Source organism: Homo sapiens, chromosome 6, assembly GCF_000001405.40.
Source record: "Homo sapiens chromosome 6, GRCh38.p14 Primary Assembly".
NCBI classification, from domain to species: domain Eukaryota; kingdom Metazoa; phylum Chordata; class Mammalia; order Primates; family Hominidae; genus Homo; species Homo sapiens.
In genome coordinates, this window is record NC_000006.12 from 149,687,904 (window position 1) to 149,715,876 (window position 27,973).

A 27,973-nucleotide genomic window follows, 5' to 3' on the forward strand; every position below is an offset into this window, starting at 1 on the left:
CGCTCTGTCGCCCAGGCTGGGAGTGCAGTGGTGCGATCTCGGCTCACTGCAAGCTCCGCCTCCCGGGTTCACGCCATTCTCCTGCCTCAGCCTCCTGAGTAGCTAGGACTACAGGCGCCCACCACCACGCCCAGCTAAGGTTTTTGTATTTTTAGTAGAGACAGGGTTTCACCGTGTTAGCCAGGATGGTCTCGATCTCCTGACCTCATGATCTGCCCGTCTTGGCCTCCCAAAGTGCTGGGATTCCAGGCATGAGCCACCTTGCCTAGCCTGGCCTTCCTCTTTCTTTATGACACATTTTATCCAACTTAAATCCATGGTCTATCACTTTGTTCTTCCCTCTCTATTCTTTTTCTCTGAGATCACCTCCTTTTTATTCATTCATTAAATATTTGGGTTTTTTGTTTGTTTGTTTGTTTTTTGACATGGAGTCTTCGCTTTGTCACCTAGGCTGGAATGCAATGGCGCAATCTCAGCTCACCGCAACCTCTGCCTCCCGGGTTTAAATGATTCTCCTGCCTCAGCCTCCCAAGTAGCTGGGATTACAGGCGCCCACCACCACGCCTGGCTAATTTTTTGTATTTTTAGTAGAGATGGGGTTTCACTATGCTGGCCAGGCTGGTCTTGAATTCCTGACGTCGTGACCCGCCCACCTCGGCCTCCCAAAGTGCTGGGATTACAGGCGTGAGCCACTGCACCCGGGCCGTTCATTAAATATTTATTGTGCATCAACTATATGCCAGGCACTGCTCTAAGCAATCCAATGACATTGGTAAACAACAGAACATCCGTGGCCCATGAACCTACATTCTCGAAGGAGAAGCCAGACACAAAGCAGGTGAATAAATAAATGAGGTAACTTCAGGGTATGATAAATGCTCTGTGAATGAAACATAAATGGCATCAAATGATAGAGAGTAACAGGAGGCTAGAAAGGGATAAGGGCTCCTCTGAGGGATAATATATGAGTTCAGACAGCACAGGCCAGGCGCGGTGGCTCAAGCCTGTAATCCTAGCACTTTAGGAGGCCGAGGTGGGCGGATCACCTGAGGTCAGGAGTTCAAGACCAGCCTGGCCAACATGGTGAAACCCTGTCTCTACTAAAAATACAAAAATTAGCTGGGTATGGTGGCACATGCCTGTAATCCCAGCTACCTGGGAGGCTGAGGCAGAAGAATCACTGGAACTCAGGGGGCGGAGGTTGCAGTGAGCTGAGATAGCGCCACTGCACTCCAGTCTGGGCGACAGAGCAAAACTTTGTCTCAAAAAAAAAAAAGACTGCATAAAGGTCCTGAGGTGGGAGCTTGGTATTTTCCAAGAACAAAATAAACCCAGTACGGCTGTAGAACAGTAAATGAAGGGGGAAAGTGGTATTGGATGGGATCTAAGAGGTAGCCAGGCCATGGACAAGGAATTTGGAAGAATAAGAAGCCGATAAAGGTAGAGGAGGAGTACGCTCTGATTAAGGATTTAAATTATCCTTTCAGGCTGGGCACGGTGGCTCATGCCTGTCTCAAAAAAAAAAAAAAAATTACCCTTTTAGCAATATTATCGATCTTATTTTGTACTTGTTTAGTGAAACTCCAGTCAGGGATAATTCCAGCTATCTTTTTTTGTTGTTGTTTTTAACTTAAAAGAAAAAGTGATGCAGTGGGCAGACTGATTTTACTATAATTCAAGATCAGCATCCTTCAATGGCCTCAGCACCACCAGGAAACTCTTTCTATAGTCTCCACTATTGCCAGTCCTCAGTCTCCTCAAACTGCCTGCTCTAGTCCTCACTCATCACTCTTAGAAAATGACTTGGTTTTCTATTTCAGAGAAAACAGCAGGCATCAGAAAGTACTCCCTTAGCTTCCTTACATAACCTAGGCCCGTCTGCTGCTGTTAGAGAAAAATGACTGTTCCTCTATCTAAGGCTAATAGTCCCTCATGCTATGCTTTGGATCCTATTCCTCCCAGTTTCTCAGGAAGCTTACTTGATCCTCAAGTATCTCTTGAATATTTAATTTCATCCTCTTAACTGGAGTCTTCCAATTATCTTTTAAACATGTTTAAGTCTTTACTTAAAAAAAAAAAAATAAGACTCTCCTTCCACTCCCATATATAGAGCTCTACCTCAAAGTGTTATCTGGTGCTGGTCCACAAACTGACATAAGATATATTACAAACTGACATGAGATTAAGTATGGAAATGGAGAGTGAGGATTGAGAAACATTTATAGAAATTTGACAGAATAAACTTACGTCTGTTAAATACAATGATAAACTATTTAAACATATACATATATGTATTCTTTTCTTTTTTTCTTTTTTTTTTTTTTTTTGAGACGGAGTTTTGTTCTCGTTGACCAGGCTGGAGTGCAATGGCGCGATCTCGGCTCACCGCAATCTCTGCCTCCCAGGTTCAAGTGATTCTCCTGCCTCAGCCTCCCCAGTAGCTGGGATTACAGGCATGCACCACCACGCCCAGCTAATTTGGTATTTTTATTAGACACGGGGTTTCTCCATGTTGGTCAGGCTGGTCTCGAACTCCCAACCTCAGGTGATCCACCCGCCCCAGCCTCCCAAAGTGCTGGGATTACAGGTGTGAGCCACTGTGCCCAGCCTCAACTTATATTTTTATGTCATTTAAAATTTTAACTTTCTTTTTTTTTTTTTGAGAAAGGGGCTCACTCTATTGCTCAGGCTGGAGTGCAGCGGCGCAATCACAGCTCACTGCAGCCTCAACTTTCTGGGTACAAGCAATCCCCCCAACTCAGCCTCCTGAGTAGGTGGGACTACAGGCACATGTCACCAAACCTGGATAATTTTTTGTAGAGCCAGGGTTTCACCATGATGCTCAGGCTGGTCTAAAACTTCTGAGCTCAAGTGATCCTCCTGCCTCAGTCTCCCAAAGTGCTGTGATCACAAGCGTGAGCTACCATGTGTGGCACTTAAATTTTCATTTTCTAATAATTTATTGTATGTTATAAAATTATGAATTGAAGTCATGATGAACTGGAAATTTGAAAAATCACCATAGATGGTTTGAGAAGCACTACTCTTGCTAACATCCTCACTCTCTCCTCCAGAAACACTTCTTGAAGGTATACCTTGTTTTTTTTTACTACTACATATCCTATTTAGTCCTCAACCCACTCCAATCTGAATTATGCTCCCAGGACATGACAAGTTACCTCATTTGCTGAACCCCCAATCCATATGCTGAAGTCCTAACCACCAGTACCACAAGATGTGACTGTATTTGGTAATTAAGATTAAATTAGGTCATTAGGGTGGGTCCTAATGCAGTATGACCTGTATCCCTGTAAGAGAAAATTTGGACATGGAGATGGAGACCCCAGACACATGCACATGCAGAGGGACAAACATATGAGGACACAGCAAGGCGGCCGCCATCTGCAAGCCAAGGAGAATGGCCTCAGAAGAAACTAGACCTGCCAGTAACTAATCTTGGACTTCTAGTCTCCAGCACTCAAATAAATCTTCATTGTTTAAGCCACCCAGTCTGTGTTATTTTGTTATGGCAGCCCTAGCAAACTAATACACCATGTCACTAAAGTCAACAAGATTATTTTTTAGCTCTCATCTTGGTCAGTATCTCTTTCTTAGCAGTATTTGGCATTTTGACCATTCCCTCCCCTTCTTGAAACACTCTCTTACTGTGGCTTCCAAAACACTGAAAACCTTATTGGTTTTCTTCCTTTTCACCTATTTCTTCTCTGTCCCCTTTGCAGGTTTACCCCTTCCTACTAGCTATTAAATAATAAGCTTGGTTGCAGGCCATCTTATTATTTTGTCTATGTAACATCCCTTAGGTGACCTATTTCATATGTATGGCTCATACATACATCCCCACCTCCCTACTTGACATCTTCACTTGGAAAACTATAGCCAGATTTATGATCTTTCCCACCCAATTCCATTCTCTCTTAACATTCCCTTTCTTAATGTAGGGTATTATCATCCATCTATTTTTCTAAGCCAAAAACCTAAGTTATCCCCTTCTACCATCACGCACCATATGTAATCTATTACCAAGTCCTTGTCAATTTTACCACTCCCATCCCTCTTAATTCATTTATTTTCTTCACTGCTATCGCCCAAGCCCAAATTACCCTCACAAACTACTGTGTTTCCTATCACACCTGTCCTCATATCTATCCTCACACCTCTCTAACCCATTCTCATCCATTGCAGCCATCTTTCTGAAATACAAATCTAATAATGTTATTACCCTGCTTGAAACACTTCTATACCTTTCTGCTGCTCTTAGCATAAAATTAATAAACAGTTCTGCAGAGTCAGGCCCCTATGGACTTTTCCAGTCACATTTCACAATCCTGTGTTCAGTGCTCCAAACATTTTCATTTTTTTGTGGCATCAGAATCTGCCAAAGCAGCCATGCAAAGGGACACTCACTAAACCCATTCCCATTAACTCTGTACTTCTTCAGATATCAGCTTTATTATCAGTTTGTTAGGAAGGGTTTTTCTGAACTTCTTGATGCGGTTAAAAAAAAAATCCCACTATTATATGAGTCCACAGTACCATGTAACTCTCCTCTCTTCATTCACACCATATATAGCTGTAATTCTACATGTATCTGGGTGATTATTTAATCTCCCTTACTAGCTAAGCTCCACAAAAGGGCAAGAACTTACCCAATGCAGAACAAAGAGCCTGAAACAGTGGTTGACCAATAAAAATTTGTTGAATAGGAAGAATGACTACAGCCCTCTTATAAATCAATTCTTTTTCTTTTTCTTTCTTTTTTTTTTTTTTGAGAGGGAGTTTCGATCTTGTTGCCCAGGCTGGAGTGCAATGGTGCGATCTCAGCTTACCGAAACCTCCGCCTCCTGGGTTCAAACAATTCTCCTGCCTGAGCCTCTCAAGTAGCTGAGATTAGAGACACGCGCCACCACACCCAGCTAATTTTGTATTTTTAGTAGAGACGAGGTTTCTTCATGTTGGTCTGGCTGGTCTCTAACTCCCGACCTCAGGTGATCTGCCCGCCTTGGCCTCCCAAAGTGCTGGGATTACAGGCATAAGCCACTGCACCAGGACACAAAGACAGGCCAGGTGTGGTGGCTCACGCCTATAATCCCAGCACTTCGGGAGGCTGAGGCAGGCAGATAACAAGGTCAGGAGTTCGAGACCAGCCTGATCTACATGGTGAAACCCTATCTCTACTAAAAATACAAAAATTAGCCAAGCATGGTGGTGTGCACCTGTAACCCCAGCTACTCTGGAGGCTGACGCTGGAGAACTGCTTGAACCCGGGAGGCGGAGGTTGGGAGGTGGAGGTTGCAGTAAGCCAAGATTGTGCCACTGCACTCCAGCCTGGGTGACAAGACTCTGTCTCAAAGAGAAAAAAAAAAAAAAATTAAAAGAGGTAAAGTGGCAATGAAAAATAACCAATAGGCCAGGCGCGGTGGCTCATACCTGTAATCCCAGCACTTTGGGAGGCCAAGGCAGGCAGATCACGAGGTCAGGAGTTCAAGACCAGCATGGCCAAGATGGTGAAACCCCATCTCTACTAAAAATACAAAAATTAGCTGGGCACGGTGGCAGGTGCCTATAATCCCAGCTACTACTCAGGCTGTGGCAGGAGAATCACTTGAACCCAGGGGGTGGAGGTTGCAGTGAGCCAAGATTGCGCCACTGCACTCCGGCCTGGGTGACAGAGTGAGACTCCATCTCAAAAACAAACAAACAAACAAACAAACAAACAAACACCAAAACAAACCAATAAACAAATGCAGTGATCAAAGAAATGCAAATGTAAAATAAGATGGTGTTTCCATAACCATTAAACAGACAAAAATAATAATACCGAGGCTTTACAAACATAGGCATTCTCATAGTAAACGGATAGGGAGAATATAAATTGGTACTACTAGCTGGGCGCGGTGGCTCACGCCTGTAATCCCAGCACTTTGGGAGGCTGAGACAGGCAGATCACTTGAGGTCAGGAGTTCAAGACCAGTCTGGCCAACATGGTGAAACCCCGTCTCTACTAAAAATACAAAAAATTAGCCGGGCATAGTGGCGGGCACCTGTAATCCCAGCTACTTGTGGGCTGGGGCAGGAGAACTGCTTGAACCTGGGATGCAGAGGTTGCAGTGAGCTGAGAACATACCACTGTACTCCAGCCTGGGCAACAGAGTGAAACTCCATCTCAAAAAAATAAAAAAATAAAATAATAAATTGGTGCTATCTTTCTAGACAGCAATATCTATGAAAAGCCTTAACGTTTTTTAAGTTTTCTAAAACTTACTTTTAGGAAATCATTAGGTATGTACAAAGATTTAGCTATAAGGGTAATTACTGCAGTGCTGTCTATAATGGCAAATAATAAAGGAAATAAAGCCGATGCCCAAAAATGGGAGATTAGTTAAATGAAGTATATGATACATCTTTTTTGTTGGGTTGTTTGTTTTGAGACAGGGTCTGGCTCTGTTGCCCAGGCTGGAGTGCAGTGGCAGGATCACCCGGGCTTAGGTAAGCCTCCCGCATCAGTCTCCCATAGTATTGAGCTTATAGGTGTGAGCCACTGCAGTCAGCAAATAAGTCTATTTTAATGTGGCTAGTAAAATTATTCTGTAGAAAATTTAATAACAAGTAAAATTGTACATGGTATATTAAGTGAAAAAAGTAGGTTTTAGTATGTTCCCATTTTTTGCTTAAACAACAAGAATCAAAATACGCATAGATAAACCTATTCTGGTTTCCCACAGGAAAAAAGACTGGGAAACAAAATACACCAAAATATTGTTATTAACAGCGATGTTTGTATTTGCTTTCTAAATATTCTATGTTGATCATATTTTACTCCCATAATATGAAAAAAATATATAAAAAGAAAAAAGAGTAGTCTGAATGATGGGATTTGGAGGGAAAATAGACATATTTCAGCTGCAGTATTACCAATCAAATAGATCTCAATCTAGACTGCTGCTTACCAGAATTATCTATTAACTTTTAAATGTGAGGACCCCATCCTTAAATTCATTTTGGTATAACATTATAATGTTATCTTAATTTGAGACTTTCATTTACTGGGATGCTTTTACAATTTCTAAGAAGGAAGATTTGATAGACTTCAGTATTTTTAAACTACACAGTAAAAGAAGAGATGAGAAAATAAAATATTTGATTAATCACCTGGTTTCATGCTGGCATTAATAGGTCTGGCAGCTGCTGCAGCCATCTGCTCTCGTCGAGGATCTTGGTAACTCATTTTACTAATGAATTCAATTGCTGCTTCTATACTTCTGTTGTTAGTTTTCTGAAGAGCTTGTATAACCATATCCTGATATGAATTGAAGTTTAAAAAAAAAGAAACAAAATTTAAATCTTACAATAATACAAGGGAAAGAACACTATGAGTTCCACTAGAGAAATCCATAATTATGAAGAACACAGCCCCAAACCATGATATTAATGTTCTGTTTGTAGCTACTAAAAACCCCGCACAAAATCTCAACTAAAACAGGCAGGGCGCAGTGGCTCAAGCCACTTTGGGAGGCCGAGGTGGTCAGATCACTTAAGACCAGGAGTTCAAGACCAGCCTGACCAACATGGTAAAAAACCCAGTCTCTGCAAAAAAACACAAAAATTAGCTGGGTGTGCTGGCGCACGCTTGTAATTCCAGCTACTCAGGAGGCTGAGACATGAGAATTGTTTGAACCTGGGAGGTGGATGTTGCAGCAAGCTGAGATGACCACTGTATTCCAGCCTGGGCAACAGAGCGAGATGCTGTCTTGGAAAAAAAAAAAAAAAAGAAAGAAAACAAAACCCTCAAATCTTCCAAATGTTTCTTTAGCATTTTCATCTTTATGTAACATATTTCTATTTCCTCCTAGGATTAACGTCTTTTTTTAAAGTATTTTTAAATTTTTATTTTTTTCAACACACCATTGTTGGCTTGAATTAGGATTAACAACTTCTCTGGGTACAATCATAGCAACATGATTCTGATTACTTCTAATTCTTTTTACTTTTTTTTTTCTGAGATGGAGTTTCGCTCTTGTTGCTCAAGTTGGAGTGCAATGGTGCGATCTTGGCTCACTAGCAACTTCTACCTCCTGGGCTCAAGCGATTCTCCTGCCTCAGCCTCCCAAGTAGCTGGGATTACAGGCACGCTCTACCAGGCCTGGCTTATTTTTTATACTTTTAGTAGAGACAGCATTTTACCATGTTGGCCAGGCTGGTCTCAAACTCCTGACCTCAGGTGATCCACCCACCTCGGCCTCCCAAAGTGCTGGGATTACAGGTGTGAGCCACTGCTCCCAGCTTCCTAATTCTTATATAAACAATCAGAGACTATCAGATTGTTAAAAAGGTAGCAATCAAAATATCAGAAACAACTCTTTTGGGCTGAGTGCGGTGGCTCACACCTGTAATCCCAGCACTCTGGGAGGCCGAGGCGGATAGATCACCTGAGGTCAGGAGCTCCAGACCAGCCTGACCAACATGGTAAAACCCCATCTCTACTAAAAATATAAAATTGTCTGGGTGTAGTGGTACGTGTCTATAATCCCAGCTGTTTGGGAGGCTGAGGCAGGAGAACCCAGGAGGTGGAGGTTGCAGTGAGTACAGATCACGTCACTACACTCCAGCCTGGGCAACAAGAGTAAAACTCCGTCTTAAAAAAAAAAAAAAAAAAAAAAAAAAAGAACTACTTTTTTATATGAGTATCTTGGTATTTTATTAAGCACATTGCCATTGTGCATAGTAGTTCTGGCTCTTATCCTCTTAGAGATTACGTTTTCAGAGAACTATATTACAGGAATACAAATATAAGACAAAAGAAGATACTTAGACTATATATGATTATGTGATAAAGACTTTAGGAGGCTATATAGTACGATGAAAAAAACAGAGGATTTGGAATCAGACAGATGTGAGTTTGAGTTCCAGCAGCTCTGTAAAGTAGAGTGACACCTGGCAAATTATTTCACATTTCAGAGGCTCAGTGTCTTTGCCTGTAATAGGCTCATAGGGTTGATGTGAGGATTAAATAAGAAAACATGTAAACTACCAAGCACAGTGCCTGGAGCTAAAATGTTGGCTGCTCTCTTCCACTCCTTGTACTTTATGTTTTATATAAACATAAATCACTCACTATCATGCAGAAAGTATGTTGACATGCATTTTTCAAGAGGGAGGCAACTACTTACTTGTCCTAGAGGATTCAGTATTTCAAACGACATTTTTAAATGAGAAATGGCTTAGTAAGACTAATGGGTGAACAGGCTACTGACAGATGATCCTCCTATATGAAATGATAAGAGAAGAATGTGAGACCAACCAAAGAAAGGATGTGGTAAGAACTTATTGCCTACCTAAGGTCATTTCTCCCTTTCTTAGAAAAAGTTACTGATTTTGTTGGAAGCAGCAAGGGTTGCCATAAAAATTTTGCCATGCCTGCCTTATCTAGGTACTGGTCCTTCCTCGACCCCGTTTCCTAGGCAACAGATATGACACCTGTGCTAGAGCATGTTGCCACCAAGAAGTAAAATTTAAGATATTCATAAGAGTCCTAGGCTCTGAAATCTTTAAGACGTTGAGCTAATCGTAATTAACTGAATCACTATCTTGCTAAAAGCATTATTATTTAGATTTTTGTTAAAACCAAATATGTGTAAATGTAAAATAATAGAAATCACCCATTAAAATTCATCAGGGAGTGTTTAATTTTAAAACTGGTTAAGTCAAGTGAACTCTATATGTATTTATGCTATTATTACACAGCAGTAACATCTCCATTGGTAAGAAAATTAGCACCCACTACCCTTTTCCAATATTGTGGGAATCATTTTTCTTTTCTTTTTTTTGTTTTTGAGATGGAGACTCGCTGTCGCCTGGGGTTGGAGTGCAGTGGCGTGATCTCAGCTCACGACAATCTCCACCTCCCGGGTTCAAGCAGTTCTCCTGCCTCAGCCTCCAGAGAAGCTGGCATTTACAGGCGCCCAAAAACACGCCTGGCTAATTTATATTTTTTAGTAAATATATAAAAGGTTTTGCCTTGTTGGCCAGGTTGGTCTCGAACTCCTGACCTCAAGTGATCTACCCACCTTGGCCTCCTGAAGTGCTGGCATTACCGGTGTGAGCCACCACACCCGGCCCATATTCTTGTTAAATGCACTAGAATTTCAGCCTTGTGATTCTGGTGATTACTATGCTAACCTTTATATTTTAATATTTATTGCTATGTTTTACAATATTTCTTATAGCTGTAAAAACATCAACCAAGCATTCATTAAGTGGAGGTGTTAGTGCCAGTGTGAAAAAGAACGCTCAAATCAGTAACTTTGGAATGGGAGTCTTTTTTTTTTTTTTTCCCATTAGAGACAGGGTCTTGCTCTGTTGCCCAGGCTGGAGTGCAGTGGTGCAACCACAACTCATTGCGACCCAATCTCCTGGGTTTGAGTGATCCTCCCACCTCACCCTCCTAAGTGGTTGGGGACTACAAGAACATGCCACCACACCTGGCTGATTTTTAACTTTTTTTTGTAGAGACAGGGTCTCACTATGTTGCCCAGGCTGGACTTGAACTCCTGGCCTCAAGCAATCCTCCTGCTTTGGCATCCCAGAGCACTGGAATTACAAGAGTGAACCATCACACCCAGCCAGAAGTCTTTTTTTTTTTTTTTTGAGGCAGAGTCTCACTCTGTCGCCCAGGCTGGAGTACAATGGTGTGATCTCGGCCCACTGCAACCTCCGCCGCCCAGGTTCAAGTGATGATTCTCCTACCTCAGCCACCCAAGTAGCTGGGACTACAAGCATGTGCCACTAGGCCCAGCTAATGTTTTTTTTTTCATATATTTTGTAGAGTCGGAGTTTCACCATATTGGCCAGGCTGGTCTCGAACACCTGGCCTCAAGTGATCCACCCGCCTTGGCCTCCCAAAGTGCTAGGATACAGGCGTGAGCCACCATGCCTAGCCAGAAGTCTTATGTGATAAGAAAATATGTCCACATAATTATGCCTTTGTTTTTCATGCTTATAAGCAAAAATATACCCCAGTGATTGTATTATGTGCTCCAAGAATGCATCAATCCTATTTAACATTTATTCCTATGAGAAAATTAATCTTGAAATATTTGAGCTTTTCATTTTACAGGGTCACCAGAAACACATTCTCAAAAAAAAAAAAGGCACTATCTTGAACTTGGCATAGCTAATAAAAAGAGTAGGTTAGGGTTTCTGAAATGATAAAAAAGAATGAAGTGAAAACTAGATAATAATTTTGAAATACCAAGTTAGGATCTTGAACAAGATAAACTCTACAATATAATAGGATGCTACCAGAATGAGTGATTCAAGGAAGTAGAAGTGGACTGCCAGAATCTTTATATCACCATTGGTATAAATAATACCATACTTCTGCACTGTCTGGGAAGTGAGGTGCACCTCTGCCCAGCCACCTCACAGTCTGGGAAGTGAAGAGCGCCTCTGCCTGGCCGCTGTGCAATCCTCCAAGTGTGAAGTGACAGCCTTGTGTGTGATCTTTCTGCCCTCCCCAAGTTTGCATTTTGACATTAAAGTTTACTTTTTAATAAAAAAAAAAAATAAAATAAATAAATAACACCATACTTCATTATTTGGACAAACAGGGAATGATAAATGTCTAAATACTTTCAATAAAGCAATCTTGTGACAATTTGAAATGTGTAATTACAATAAAGCTATCATTTGTGTAGTAGCACTTCAATGAAAAAAAGCACAAACATATCTTTGTAATACAAACCAATTATTGTTATTATTACCAATAATGAATAGAGCATTGACCAATGCCTTAGATTTCCTAAAACTGTCTTTATTAGAAAGAACTTTTAATTACCTTAAAGGTATAGGCCATGTCACTATCCTGACTGATGGGTGGGGTGCACACATAGTAAGAACTCCATAAATACATATTACTGGGTGACTTATCTGACATAACACATTACCACTTGGGGCCTTTATAGCTATGTGATTTCATAACTTCTCTTTGCTTAGCAATATGTAAAAGGAAAGAATAAGATCAATAATTATACTTTGCCTTTTGGCTAAGGGATTAGGAAGAAAGTGCTTGGGACAATCTCCACTCAAGCCATTTCTTTAATCCTCCAAATACTAACGAGAAAAACATTATCCCAGGTCCTTCCCTCCTCCTCCTCTCTCTATTTCCTGGTCCAAATCCAGTATTTTTAGAACACTTAAGTGTAAAAATGATAGAAAATAATATTAATCAAATAAGTAAACAGAATGTGCCAGAAATAAAATTTCTTATTTTCAGCTGGGTGTGGTGGCTCATGCCTGTAATCCCAGCACTTTGGGAGGCCAAGGTGGGCTGATCACGAGGTCAGGAGTTCGAGACCAGCCTGGCCAACATGGTGAAACCCCATCTCTACTAAAAATACAAAAATAGCCAGGCGTCGTGGTGGGCGCCTATAGTCCCAGCTACTCGGGAGGCTGAGGCAGGAGAATTGCTTGAACCCGGGAGGCAGAGGTTGCAGAGAGCTGAGATCGCACCACTGCACTCCAGTTTGGGTGACTGAGCAAGGCTCCGTCTCAAAAAATATAAAAAATAAAACTTTTTTTTCCTTCTAGTTTAGTTGTAAATCTCCCTTTTCAAATCCTTTACTACAATGCATACTTAGGTTCTCATTTTTTAAATTAAATACAGATATATATGGAAATTCGGCCACCAAAAAAACACACAAAACAACAAAAAACAAACAGTGAAGGAATTTTAAGAGTAGTTATCTTTATACAGTGAAGCTAAATATAATTTTCAGTTTCTTCTTTACACTTTTAAATTGTTAACAGAAAATAGGTAATATTTTTGCAATCAGAAAAAACATTACTATAATTTTGAAAAATGTAATTAACTGTTTTTTTGAGATGGAGTTTCCCTCTTGTTGACCAGGCTGGAGTGCAATGGCGCGATCTCGGCTCACTGTAACCTCTGCCTCCCGGGTTCAAGAGATTATCCTGCTTCAGCCTCCCAGGTAGCTGGGATTACAGGCATGTGCCACTATGCCCAGCTAATTTGATATCTTTAGTAGAGACAGGGTTTCACCATGTTGGTTAGGCTGGTCTGGAACTCTTGACCTCAGATGATCCACCCACCTTGGCTTCCCAAAGGGCTGGGATTACAGGCGTGAGCCACTGCACCCGGCCTGGCCTAACTTTTGATTATTCACATTTACTTAAATTTTACATTGCCCATCTAAAATGACTCCTGACACCTAAAATATTCATGCTTACAAGGTATGTTATCATAAGAAGAAAATTCTATTAATAACCTAAATGAAATGATTAAATATATGGGTTATGAAAAAACTTCAAAATGAATTCTGAAGAGAAATATTAAAGACTTGGCAGTTAGCCTGAAGTGAAATTTTGTTAGTTTTTGTGAATTTAAGATTTGGGCCTGAGAACACAACTGCTTACACAAACTCTTAACTATAATTCTTTCTCCCTACTATAAAGTTAAATTTCATATCCTTGGAACTATCATTTCCCCAACAGCCACTTAGTTCACCAAGCTTGTATTTCACACAAACAGATGTCCTTCCCCTACCCTCACCTATGGCTTTCTTCAACTGCACTTCCATTATGACTTCATGATCTGGCCTTTTAAATTCCAGAAACTCCAGAATTTAGTGATACATATCACAGAAGAAACTAAAGAAATATTATTTTTAATAGTAATTAATGGAATTATAAACGTAACATTCTTTGCTGATAGAATACATAAATGTGTATACAGGGTTAAATTCTCCCAAAGGAAACATTTTGGCATGTTATCACCCAAAAAGTGTTATGTAGCATAAGGTAAGAAGAATCCTTTCTTTTGTCTTTAAACATTCTTACCTCATCAAATCCAGCAGCTTGCAAGTCTTGAAGCATTTGTGGATTAACTTCTGAAGTACTCCGAGAAGAATTTGTTTCATTTGCAAATGGAAGCAGAGAGTTTCGAATTTCCTGCAAGGCTTTATGATGCGTCCCAAATTTGGGTGGATTTCTGACTTGTCGAGGATCTTCGGTTGACATTTTACTCATGTTATGCTCAGCCTTAGCAGCATCAGATGGTTTAGATAAATTCCTAAGGGATTCCCGAATTTCTTGTAACATTTGCCGGCTACTGACAGTATAGTTACTGGCAGGAAAGGTCTTAGGCCTCATTTGTCTATATCCTTCTGGCTTTTCACTCCTCTTCATGAAAACATCTATATATGTAGCCCACACGAAGGACTTCTTTATTTGATAGATCCAGAGCTTTCTTCTGAGCAAAAGTGAAAATGATCCTTCAAGGAAGTCCCCAGGACTGTTAAAATTCTTTACAATATAAATAATTAACTCTGTAAAAGAAAGAAAGAAAGGAAAGCTATAAAGTGGTTAATACAGCAGTACCATGTATTAGAGGAAAAGTCCATTGATATAGGGGTTAAGAGATTCAGGTTATAGTTCTGACTCCATTAAGGATTACTCCGGGTTCAGGACAAGTTACTTAATCTCTCCATGCCTACTTCCTAGCCTATAACCTAGATTTACCTCAAATCGTAGCTATGATGATTTAAAAAAAAAAAAAAAGTTCCTTAGTAAGCATACCAAGCATTTATACAAATGCCAGGGATTATTAAGTGAACAATAAAACAGGTAACCTCTTATTAACAACTTCACCTAGAGGATCAAATTTTAAATTTTACAAATCAGACTTCAAGATTTCTTTAGAAGGGTATTGTTGCTTTAAATTTATTTTTATTTTTTTATTTTTATTTTTTGAGATGGAGTCTCACTCTGTCACCCAGACTGGAGTGCAGTGGTGCGATCTTGCCTCACTGCAAACTCTGCCTCCTGGGTTCAAGCAATTCTCCTGCCTCAGCCTCCCCAATAGCTGGGATTACAGGCACCCGCCACCACGCCCAGCTAACTTTTTTTGTATTTTTAGTAGAGAGGGGGTTTCGCCATGTTGGCCAGGCTGGTCTTGAACTCCTGACCTCATGATCCACCCACCTCAGCCTCCCAAAGTGCTGGGATTACAGGTGTGAGCCACCGTGCCCAGCCTTTTTTTTTTTGAGACAGAATCTTGCTCTACCACCCAGGCTAGAGTGCAGGAGTGTAGTGGTGCAACCTTGGCTCACTGCAACCTCCGCCTCTCAGGTTCAAGTGATTCTCATGCCTCAGCATCCCAAGTAGCTGTGATTACAGGTGTCTGCCACCACGCCCAGCTAATTTTTGTATCGTTTAGTAGAGATGGGGTTTCACTATGTTGGCCAGGCTGGTCTCGAACTCCTGGCCTCAAGTGATTCACCTGCCTTGGCCTCCCAAAGTGCTGGGATTGCAGGCTTGAGCCACTGCAATCCTCCACTTTAAAAAGATTTTTAAACCACTATTCCAGAAGGTCCCTTTATGCTTCAAAAACAGATGCCTGAGTTTATTTTCCAAGCTATGAACTAGGACTCTGATATGGTTTGGATCTGTGTCCCCACCAAATCTCATGTCGAACTTTAGTCCCCACTCTTGAAGGTGGGGTCTGGTGGGAGGTGGTTGGATCTTGTGGATGAATCTCATGAATGGCTTAGCTGGATATACAGTACTTCTCTGAGTACTAGAAAAGCACAGCACTTGTAATGGAAAGCAGCAACAAAAAATGAGATTCAAGTACTTGTTCAGGGGCCAGGCATGGTGGCTCAGGCCTATAATCACAACACTTGGGAGGCCAAGAAGGGAGGACTGCTTGAGCTCAGGAATTTGAGACCAGCCTGGGCAACATAGGGAGACCCTGTCTACATTAAAAAAAAAAATTACTTGTTCTGTTAATTAGTAGCAATGTGGACTTGGACATTTAATTCTCTGAAACTGACTCCTGAGACATAAAGTGGTTATCAACATCTAATAAATTGAACTAGGATTAAGAGGAACAATGCAACACAAGTAAAGGAATATACACACAAGTATGTGAAGATGTAGGCTGTTCCTCGCAACATCATTTATAACAGCAAAAGTTGACACCAGTCCAGATGTTCATCAGTGGAGGATTGTTCAAGTAATTCATAGTACATTTATATAATATACATCTAAGTCAAAAAGAATGATGCAGTTCTTTTTTTCTGAGATGGAGTTTCGCTCTTGTTCCCCAGGCTGGAGTGCAATGGCACGATCTTGGCTCACTGCAACCTCTACCTCCCGGGTTCAAGTGATTCTCCTGCCTCAGCCTCCCGAATAGCTGGGATTACAGGCATGCACCACCGTGCCCAGCTAATTTTGTATTTTTAGTAGAGACAGGATTTATCCATGTTGGTCAGGCTGGTCTCGGACTCCCGACCTCAGGTGATCCACCCACCTCAGCCTCCCAAAGTGCTGGGATTACAGGCGTGAGCCACTGTGGCCGGCAGAATGATGTAGTTCTATATAATGTACAGATATAAACAGATAAGTAAATGTATCCTAAGCAAAAAAAGCAAATTCACCATACTGTATACAAAACTAACCTATTTTCTGTTCTAAAATTAGATTACAATTTATTGCTGTGAAAATATGCTAAAAAAACACTTTAAATGGGTAAACTTAGGGGTTTTTTTTTTGTTTTTTTTTTTGAGACAGGGTCTCATTCTGTTGCTCAGGCTGGAGTACAGTGGTTTGATCACAGCTCACTGCAGCCTCAACCTCCTGTGCTCATCCTCCTGCCTAAGCCTCCCAAGTAGCTGGGAATGCAGGAACATGCCACCCTGTCCAGCTAAGTTGTTAATTTTTTGTAAAACAAAGTCTCCCTATGTTGCTCAGGCTGGTCTTGAACTCCTGGGTTCAAGTGCTCAGGTAAGCCTCCTGCCTCAGCCTCCCAAAGTGGTGGGATTATAGGCATGAGCCACCCCACCTAGCCTGAGTAAACTTTATAGTATATAAATTGTATGTTAATAAAGCTGTTAAAAATATACCCATTTTTAATTTTTTAAAATTTATATTTATAGAAATTAATTATACACACACACACACACACACACACACACACACACACACACAATTTGCAGCAGGCCTGAGACATGACGAAGCCCTGTAGCAGCCACTAGAGGTAGTTTCCTGATGACTTCACCTCATAAATCAGTGCTCTCATGGCACAATTGCTAAATTAGCTATGAATCAATCAAACTCTATTACAAGCAGCTCACATTTCTCCACTTTGAAAAAAAAAAAGATGAACTTTTTCATTGCCTGAAAATTGCACATATTCTATCTATAACATAATAATACATGAATAATATAATTATTTTGTAAATGAAATTAGGATGGACATACCATGTGCTTTTTATGAAGGAAGCTGGTCCCTAAAGCATTTTCTTTTCTAAGCTTTCCCAAAATATTAATTTAATAGCTTACTAATGAGTTTTTCTAAGCTTAACATTTAGCTCGCCAGTCTAAAGTTTGCAGAATTCACCTCTGGCCCTTTCTAAAAGTGAAGATACTTTCTATATTAGGTCTTCTGAAACCTACCATTTCTCCATGATCAAGGATTAACACTGTTGTGGAATCTTACATGTCAGTTCTTTTAGTATCTGGATTGCAATTCATTTATAGGATCTAGGTATTCTTTCAATATCTCACTTACTTTGGGTTTCAACTCTAAGTTAATCATCACTTTATTATTATTGTTATTTTACCATTTCCAAGATCATTCTGACAGAGAGAGAGAGAGAAAAAAAAAAGAAAAAAAGAAAAGAAACATAGTTTTGCTTCTGTCAAAATATTTGCTTCCATTTCCCTATAATGGGACCTGGTCACCAGTAGGTAGCGCAAAAATATTTGAACTTACAAATGCAGGTAACTTGCCCCTTCTTTCTGCTGTTAAAAAAATACAGCATGCATCCTTATTGAAAAATTCAAGTATTTATATAAATATATACAGTAGGAAAAAGTAGAAGTCCCTCATAATTCACCTTCCTCAAGAGTGAGAATCACTGTAGCGGGCTGAATAATGGCCTCTCAAAAGATATTCCTGAGCCAGGCACAGTGGCTCACTCCTATAATCCCAGCACTTTGGGAGGCCAAGGCGGGTGGATCACCTGAGGTCGGGAGTTTGAGACCAGCCTGACCAACATGGAGAAACCCCGTCTCTACTAAAAATACAAAATTAGCTGGGTGTGGTGGCACATGCCTGTAATCTCAGCTACTCGGGAGGCTAAGGCAGGAGAATCGCTTGAACCCGGGAGGTGGAGGTTGTGGTGAGCCGAGATCGTGCCATTGCACTCCAGCCTGGGCAACAAGAGCGAAACCCGGTCGCAAAAAAAAAAAAAAAAAAAAAAAAAAAAAAAAAAAAAAAAAGATATTCCTGGCTTATGCCTGTAATCCCAACACTTTGGGAGGCCAAAGTGGGAGGATCACTTGAGCTCAGGAGTTCAAGACCAGCCTGGGTGGGCAACATGGCAAAACCCCGTCTCCACAAATACTGCAAAAAATGAGCTGAGTGTGGCAGTGTGTGTGACTGTGGTACCAGCTGCTCAGGTGACTGAGGTGGGAGGATCACTTGAGCCCAGGAGGTAGAGGCTACAGTGAGCCATGACTGTACCACTGCACTCCAGCCTAGGAGAGACAGTGAGACCCTGTCTCAAAAAAAAAAAGATATTCCCCTTCCTAATCTTCTCTGGAACTTGTAAATGTTATCTTATTTGGAAAAAGGGATGCTGCAGATGTGATTAAGGATTCTGAGATTAAGTTATTGTCATGGATTAACAGAGTAAGTCCCACATGCAATTACAAGTGTCCTTTTGAGAGGCAGAAGGAGGTCTGATTCACACAGAAAAAGGAAGGCAATGTGATGATGAAGTCAGAAGCCAAGGATGACAGCAGCCAACAGAAGCTGGAAGTGGCAAGGGACAGCTTCTCTCCTAGAGCCTCTGGAAGAAAACTGGCCTTGCTAATGCCTTGATTTTAGACGTCTGGCCTCCAGAACTGTGAGAGGATAAATTTATGTTGTTTTAAGCCACCAGGTTTATAGTGATTTGTTACATAAGACACAGGAAACTAATAATAATCACTATTAATACTGAATATTCTAACATATACTACTATTAACCAAAATGGGATCATAATACACAAAACTGGACATCTCTTTTTTTTTTTTTTTTTTTTTGAAGATGGAGTCTCGCTCTGTTGCCCAGGCTGGAGTGCAGTGGGGTGATCTTGGCTCACTGCAACCTCTGCCTCCCTGGTTCAAGCAATTTTCCTGCCTCAGCCTCCTGAGTAGCCGAGATCACAGGTGTGTACCACCACGCCAGGCTAATTTTTGTATTTTTAGTAGAGATGGGGTTTCACCATGTAGGTCAGGCTGGTCTCGAACTCCTGACCTCGTGATCTGCCCGCCTTGGCCTCCCAAAGTGCTGGGATTACAGGTATGAGCCACTGTGCCCGGCCGGACATCTCATTCTTTTACATAATCATGGGGAATTATGAGAAGACAATGGGGTCTGGGGGTTTACGCCTGTAATCCCAATACTTTCAGAGGCCCAGGTGGGAGGATCACTTGAGGCAAGGAATTCAAGACAAGAAGAGAATGTATTGTTGCCCAAATTTATCTTATCTTACCTTTTCCCCCCATAACATTTCATGAGATTTACATTCCATGTAGTATACATTAGAAAACGCTGGACCAGAGAAATTCATTCTCTAGTCCTATAGGCTGATGTAACTCCTAACATTGAGTGCACAAAGGTCAGAGAAAGGACTGAGTTCTGGTATATGTGTAACAATGTGTTTTAGGTTTAAATAACTGAAAACTTATTTTAAGCATATTTCTATCATCTACATGTTGAAAATACTTGTGGATAAAATAAATAATGTCTGGAATTTATTTCAAAATAATTTGGTTGTGTGCTGAAGGGGTTGGGGATATAAATGAGACAGAAGTTTTCATTTGTTGAAAACTGTTGTAGCTGAGTAATGGGTATATGAGGGTTCACTGTACTAGTCTCTTTCTTCTTATTATTTATTTTTTAGAGACAGGGGCTCACCATGTTGCCCAGGCTAGTCTTGAACTCCTGGCATCAAGCAATCCTACTGCCTTGGCCTTTCTCTTTACTTTTGTGTATTCTTGAAGTTTTCCAAAATAGAGAGTTAAAAAAGAAAAAAAAAGGAAAGGAAATGACTGGATCCTAGAATGGTTCTGCTACAAATTCTTATTTAAATACATGCAATTAAAATACACAGGATTCATTTTAAAGAAACTATTATTTCCATGAAACAATGTCACTTCATTTATCAGGGGAAATAACAGAAGCATTACATTTGAATATTCATTTCAATTTTAATTGTACAAGACCACCCTGGTCAATATGGTGAAACCCCGTCTCTACTAAAAACACAAAAATTAGCCGAGCGTGGTGGCAGGCACCTGTAGTCCCAGCTACTCGGAAGGCTGAGGCAGGAGAATCGCTTGAACCACAGAGGCAGAGGTTGCAGTGAGCCGAGACTGCACCACTGCACTCCAGCCTGGGCGACAGAGCGAGACTGGATCTCAAAAAAAAAAAAAAAAAAAATTTCAATTGTAAGATAATCTAAATCTTCTGATCTCAAAAACGCTGAAATGGAGGAATTGTGTATATCTTTAGCCAATTGCTTTTGGTAAATATATTCTGGCAGAGACTATATTCACATACAGTACTCGACTCCATTTCCCAGATTTGGCCAAAGCTGGATGAGCAGATGTAACATATCTCAATTCTGGACTGAGGCAGTTAAAAGTCACTTTGCTTCGGTTTTCCTGCTTTAATGACAATGTAGGTTACATTCTGAGATGGTGGCTTGACAATATGGAAGGAAGGTGGATCCCTAAGCCACTGGATGGAGAACCCTACTGACTCCCACTGAACTCTGAGCAAGAGAAACATTTCTGTTGTGTTAAGCCATTGATATTTGGGGATTTGTTACCACAAAACAGCCTAATAACATTGTGAAAATAGACAAAGACTGCCCAAATGGAAACAAACAAAGGCTATTTAATTAGATCTTACTATATAGGTAGGGAGTCAGCCACTGTCAACTTGTGCTTGGCAAAGATTCAAAGGCAAGCAGGGGAGTGGGAAATCTTTATACTAAAAAAAGGGGGAAGACATCAGGTATGCTCTGATTGTAGGTTGTTGGCATGGGAAACTGGAGGTGGGCTAACTGATGTAAACCAAAAATAAAATTCTAAGTCCTTCAACCATCTGAATGAACCCCTCCTCCCAGCCAAGAGCATTTGAAAGTTAACCTGAAAAACTAGTTCCAGCCATGATGGGAAGCGGAGTTTGGCCATACCTCATTATTCCCTCCTCCCTGTTGGAATTCAGGCACAGCTGACCAGCACTAACATTAAAACAAATCTTAAGACTGACAAAACAGACTCTCTGTAGCAATAAGATACCCAATTCCAGCCTGACTCTAGCATAGTATCACATGACAGATGGCAGGCCCTGAAAGAAATCCAAGTATTTGACCCCAAATTATGTTTCTTTGCCATATCTTCAAACAGTCCTGCAAAGCTGTCTCTTGTGCGGAAAATCTACATTCTGAAGTTAATTCCCTTCCTTTCTCAGGCCTTTTGCCTGATCCAGGAGAGAATCAACCCTGATAAGAAACATTTACAATGTATTATCTCTGAAGCCTGCCACCTGGAGGCTTCCTTTACATAATGGGAACTTTGGTCTCCACAACCCCTTACCTTGGCTCAGACATTCCTTCCTATTGATTCTATCTGCATAATGGGAACCCTGGTCTCCACAACCCCTTATCTTTTTTTTTTTTTTTTTTTTTTTTTTAGATGGAGTCTCACTCTGTTGCCCAGGTTGGAATGCAGTGGCTTGATCTTGGCTCACCACAATCTCCGCCTCCCGGTTTCAAGTGATTCTCCTGCCTCAGCCTCCTGAGTAGCTGGGATTACAGGCGTGCGCTACCATGCCTCGCTAATTTTTGTATTTTTAGTAGAGATGGGGTTTCACTATGTTGGCCAAGCTGGTCTTGAACTCCTGACCTCGTGATCCACCTGCCTCGGCCTCCCAAGGTGTTGGGATTACAGGCGTGAGCCACTGTGCCTGCCCACAACCCCTTATCTTAACCTAGATACTCCCTTCTATTGATTCTAGGTCTTTAGACAGTAACAACTCTTTCGACCAACTGCCAATCAGAAAATCTGTGAATCTACCTATGACCTGGAAGCCATCTGCTTCAAGGTGTCTTCCTTTCTGGACCTAACCAATGTACATCTTACATATACTGATTGATGTCTTATGTCTCCCTAAAATGTATAAAACCAAGCTGTAGTCTGATCACCTTGGGCACATGTTCTCAGGAGCTCCTGAGGGCTGTGTCATGGGGCAATAGCCATTCATATTTGGCTTAGAATAGATCTCTTAAAATATTTTACAGAGTTTGACTCTTCGTCGACACTGGAAGCGGGGTATCCTATGTGGTTGATTTGGGAAGCATATTTGGCTTTCTCTGAGTCGTCCCGAATTGGAAGAAGGCACAAAAATTAGGGAAGCTGGTAATTACTGACCAAGTCCTGACTGGGCCTATTGCTACATAGGTCATGGGTCAGAGTTCTAGTTTTATATATGATCTGGCCATTGTCCATCTGTATATTCAGTGTTTCATTATCCTAATACAGAAAACTGGTACCTGGAAGTGAGGTGCTGCTACAATAAAAACCTATGCAGTCCTGCCTTAGTGATACTGCCTTAGTGGTCAGATTAAGGGCTGAGAGGAAACAGATACCGGAGGCTGGAAAGATGGAGGATCATGTTTTATAGTGGCAAAATATCTGGTAACGCTGTTGCCTATAATAACTTTTCATACAACTACAAGGTCAGTGAACATACAAAGAGGCTACTGACCTTGTAGTGTTATAGGAGTTTGGTAAAGAGGATTTTGGAAGTGAGTATTGGCTGCTATTAGATATTTGGCAAGTATTATAAGTAAATGATGAGTTCAAGAAGGAAGTAGTAGATTTGAAAGCAAAAACAGAAGAGAATAGAAAAAGTTCAGAAATTTAAAGCCTTGAAGGATTGGAAAAGCAGCTTGTACCTAGACCCCTAGAGGCAGGATTAAAAGACTGAGCACAGATGCCCACTGAAACCCCTTAGCTAACTAGTGCTTCTGTGGTTAAGACCATATTAAAGACGTAGCCTTCCCATCAAACCTAATAGCCTCAAACAACCAAATGAGAGGAGGAGGAATAGACGCTCTTAAATCTTTGGATGAGTTTACCAATACATGTGAACTTCGACTGTGGTTACTGACACATAGAACTGAAGGAAACCAAACAGATCGGAAGAGGCTTACTAACTTTAAAGAAACTGTTTTGTTAAAAAAAAAAAAAATATCTTTTGGCCGGGCACGGTGCCTCACACCTGTAATTCCAGCACTTTGGGAGGCCGAGACAGGCGGATCACGAGGTCAGGAGTTTGAGACCAGCCTGGCCAATAAGGTGAAACCTCATCTCTACTAAAAAATACAAAAATTAGCTGGGCGTGGTGGCATGTGCCTGTAGTCCCAGCTACTCAGGAGGCTGAGGCAGAAGAATTGCTTGAACCTGGGAGGCGGAGGTTGCAGTGAGCGGAGATTGTGCCACTGCACTCTAGCCTGGGTGACAGGGTGAGACTCCATCTCAAAAAACAAAATGAAATTTTTTTTTCTTAAATCATCTCAAGTTCATACTAAAAAAATCTTCTTGTCTATTCAAAATTTAAAACCCTTGGGTCCCCGACTTCTATGAGCAAGAAGCTAGTTGAAAAAGATTTGTACGTTCCAAAGGGAAGGTACAACACACACTTCACAGGTGGTCAAGGATGATCATTAAAACAATGGATGGGAGAGTTCCTTCCAAATAAATCAGGGTCCAATCTCCCCTACCTCCAGGCCCGGTTGCTTACACAGAATCTGCCTAGGAGATTTCAGATTATAGATCAGCATTTGCTGCTTATCTCCCATTATTCTCTTTTTCTAGGAAGAGCGCTTACTGTGGCCCTTGTGTACTGCGGTGAGTGAGTAAGGGGAAAAGAAAAGGAAGGGAGATAGAGAGGAGACACAGTGAGTGACAGAGAGAGAGAGAGTGCGCACACACGCAGCACACAGGACACATTACTTCACAGGTCCCTGGACCAAGAGGAACCATATCTGGACCTGATTAAGAGATTATTGGGCATGTGGATAATAGGACCCATGAATCTTGCCTCTGTCACTAATCAGGGCCCAATTTCTTAGCAAAAGAATAACATAATACCGTGAACATCTTTCCACAGTTAGGTGTCATGTTTCTTTTATTTATTTATTTATTTATTTATAGATGGAGTTTCGCTCGTTGCCCAGGCTGGAGTGCAATGGCGCGATCTTGGCTCACCGCAACCTCCACCTCCCGGGTTCAAGCAATTCTCCTGCCTCAGCCTCCCAAGCAGCTGGGATTACAGGCCATGTGCCACCACACCCGGTTAATTTTCTATTTTTAGTAGAGACGGAGTTTCTCCATGTTGGTCAGGCTGGTCTCGAACTCCCGACCTCAGGTGACCGCCCACCTTGGCCTCCCAAAGTGCTGGGATTACAGGTGTGAGCCACTGCGCCCAGCCATATTTTATCTTCTATTCTCTCTTTTCTTTTTGAATAGAGATGAGGGTCTCGCTATGTTGACGAGGCTGGTCTCAAACTCCTGGCCTCAAGCGATCCTCCCACCTTAGCCTCCCAAAGTGCTGGGATTACAGGTGTGAGCCACCATGCCCGGCCAGTATCATGTTTGTTTGATTCTAAGCATGCTTTTCTACATTTTAATATTTCTAAAAGTTAGGGCCGGGTGCAGTGGCTCATGCCTGTAATTCCAAAACTTTTGGAGGCTGAGGTGGGCGGATCTCTTGAGCCCAGGTGTTTGAGACTAGCCTGGGAAACAAAGTGAGACCCTAACTCTACAAAAAATAGAAAAAATCAGCCAATTATGTTGGTGTGCACCTGCAGTCCCAGCTACTGGAGAGACTGAGGTGGGTGGATCAATTGAGCCCAGGAGGTCGAGGCTGCAGTGAGCTGTGATTGTGCCACTACACTCCAGCCCGGGCATCAGAGCAAAACTCTGTCCCAGAAAAAATAAATAAATAAATAAATTGAGTATATCTTAAGATCAACCCTTGGGCCCCCAACTTCTATGAGCAATAAGCTAGCTGAGAAAGATGTGTACCTTCCAAAGAGAGAATACTCACCCAACACACACTTCACAGGTGGCCGAGTATGATAATGAAAACAATGGATGAGAGTTCCTTCCAAATAAATCAAGGTCCAATCTCCCCTCCAAAGCAGAGAAGTTCTAGAGTAGCAGTCATTGCACATGCCTAACTTAACCATACATAAAAGTCGAAATCTCTGTTACCTCAATTGTATTATTTTCTTTTTTTTTTTTTGAGACAGAGTCTCCCTCTGTTGCCCAGGCTGGAGTGCAATGGTGCCATCTCGGCTCACTGCAACCTCTGCCTCCCGGGTTCAAGCAATTCTTCTGCCTCAGCCTCCCAAGTAGCTGGGATTACAGGAGCCCACCACCACACCCGGCTAATTTTTTGTATTTTTAGTAGAGACGGGGTTTCTCCATGTTGCCTAGGCTGGTCTCGAATGCCTGACCTCGGGTGATCCACCCGCCTTGGCCTCTCAAAGTGCTGCGATTACAGGTGTGAGCCACCATACCCGGACAATTGTAATATTTTCATTGGCAGCACCATATATGATGCTCAAAATGTTTTTTCTTTTTTTCTGTTTTGTTTTTGTTTTTTTGAGAAGGAGTTTCTCTCTTGTTGCCCAGGTTGGAGTGCAATGGCGTGATCTCAGCTGACTGCAACCTCTGCCTCCCGGGTTCAAGCAATTCTCCTGCCTCAGCCTCCCAAGTAGCTGGAATTACAGGCATGTGCCACCATGTGTGGCTAATTTTTGTATTTTTAGTAGAGATGGGGTTTCACCATGTTGGCCAGGGTGGTCTTGAACTCCTAACCTCAGGTGATCCACCTGCCTCGGCCTCCCGAAGTGCTGGGATTATATAGGCATGAACCACTGCGCACGGCCTCTTTTTTTCTTTTATCATTATTACTTTTTTTTTTTTGTGAGACTGTCTCACTCAGGCTGGAGTGCAGTGTCGTATTCTGGCTCACTGCAACCTCTGCTTTCCAAGTTCAAGTGATTCTCATGCCTCAGCCTCCGGAGTAGCTGGGACTACAGGTACCCACCACCACACCTGGCTAATTTTTGTATTTTTAGTAGAGACAGGGGTTTGCCACGTTGGCCAGGTTGGTCTTGAACTCCTGACCTCATGTGATCCACACACCTCAGCCTCCCAAAGTGCTGGGATTACAAGCATGAGCTACCACGCCCAGCTATTATTATTTTTGTAAATACAGATGGAGATCTTGCTAGGTTGCCCAGGCTGGTCTCAAACTCCTGAATTCAAGTGTTCCTCCTGCCTCAGCCTCCCAAAATACTGGGATGATACCATGCCTGGTCCACAAAATGTTCTGAAAGATTCCATTGTGACATAGTATTGTGCACTCAAACTGTCATTCAATAGACAATGCAATTAAAGGCATAAGTAATTATTAAATTCAAGCAAGATCACAGAATTTTCAAAGGTAAGACAGACTCAAAAGTCTGCCAAAACTTTTGGAGTTATCTTCAGAAGAAGCTGTTTAATTTCCAGCAATAGGTAATTCAATTAAGAAGAAGAAAAAAAAACTAAGTAAGCAAAAATGAAAGGCAAGCAAAACCCCAGTATTCTTCAATATACCTTAAAATTATACACACAATCATAAAGACAATATAGGTTAAGATAATTAACTAGCATTATGAAAAGCAGCCTGTTATCATGATGTTGCATTAACTAACCGAAGTAATTCAGAAGGATCCTAGATTCTGAATGTGAATAAGGCTGAGACTCAAACTTTATTGTGACAGACGAAAATGGTATACAATTGAATGAATAAATGTATGCTATTATTAATAAAAGCTTTATGTTTACTTTCTTCCTGCTAAAAAATTGCTACTAAATAGATGGCTTATCTTAGATTTAGTGGTATTTCAGAATTGATAAAGTATGATAGTTCAACCTTATTCCTTTAAATACCGATATTGAATTTCATCATGTAGATGTACTATTTTTTATTTATTTATTTATTATTTCTTTATTTCTTTATTTATTTTTGAGACAGAGTCTCACTGTCGCAGGCTGGAGTGCCGTGGTGCCATCTCAGCTCACTGCAACCTCCGTCTCTCGGGTTCAAGTGATTCTCCTGCCTCAGCCTTACAAGTAGCTGGGACTACAGACCCGCGCTACCACACCGAGCTAATTTTTGTATTTTTAGTAGAGATGGGGTTTCACCATGTTGGCCAGGCTGGTCTCGAACTCCAGACCTCAGGTAATCCGCCCTCCTTGGCCTCCCAAAGTGCTGGTTACAGGCGTGAGCCACTGCGCCCGGCTAGATGTACTATTACTTATAAATCCCTGACTGATGGACATTTAGGTTGTTCCTCATTTTTTTGCTAATGTAAAATAATACTGCAAACTGGTAACTTCAATTATACTGGTAATATTCTTGTTCTGAGTTCAGGTGGTAAGTTCATGGATGTTCATTTTATTATGCCTCATAGTTTAATAAAATGAACATATGTATAATATACATATAGCATATTCCTTGCACATAACGAAATTAGTTAATAAAAAAATTGCTGCAATAAAAATTCTTGTGCACACATTGCTGAGCATTTTTCTTAAAATAAATTCCCAGAAGTGGAATTGCTGGATCAAAGAGAATACATATTTAAAATTCTGATACTTATTGTCAGAATGCCTTCTAGAAAGTTATACTAATTTTATAATCCCCACAACAAGGTATGGTTAATACTGGCATTACTAAATCTCAACAATCTTTGCTGCTATGACATGTGAAAATTCAAATTATTACTAGGCAAAAAGAATTTTTAAAATAAT

General features: G+C 41.2%; 1 protein-coding gene across 18 annotated transcripts in view, besides 1 other annotated feature; it reads right to left on the reverse strand.

Moving 5' to 3' along the window:
- The window catches only part of LATS1 (large tumor suppressor kinase 1), a 59,949-nt gene that overhangs the window by 29,751 nt on the left and 2,225 nt on the right, over positions 1–27,973 (reverse strand). For 12 of the 18 annotated variants that reach the window (XR_007059386.1, NM_004690.4, XM_017011474.2 and 9 more), the window contains exons 2-3: positions 13,876–14,363; positions 7,171–7,318 (exon numbers count right to left, since the gene is read on the reverse strand). Coding sequence is in view for 14 of the 18 variants with exons in the window: in NM_004690.4 (NP_004681.1) it covers positions 7,171–7,318; positions 13,876–14,223 (496 nt within the window). In the remaining 4 variants the exon portion in view is untranslated. Of the gene's footprint in view, positions 1–7,170; positions 7,319–9,188; positions 9,284–13,875; positions 14,364–15,957; positions 16,413–27,973 lie in introns of those variants that run through there. The other 6 variants (NR_073033.2, NM_001350340.2, NM_001350339.2 and 3 more) reach the window with 3 other exon arrangements.
- Positions 13,636–14,217: an enhancer, noted in NCBI's record as "OCT4-NANOG hESC enhancer chr6:150022675-150023256 (GRCh37/hg19 assembly coordinates)". NCBI's record gives its function as "activates a minimal SCP1, AML or CMV promoter by ChIP-STARR-seq in primed H9 embryonic stem cells {active_cell/tissue: H9 hESC(primed)}" and the evidence as "EXISTENCE:reporter gene assay evidence [ECO:0000049][PMID:30033119]".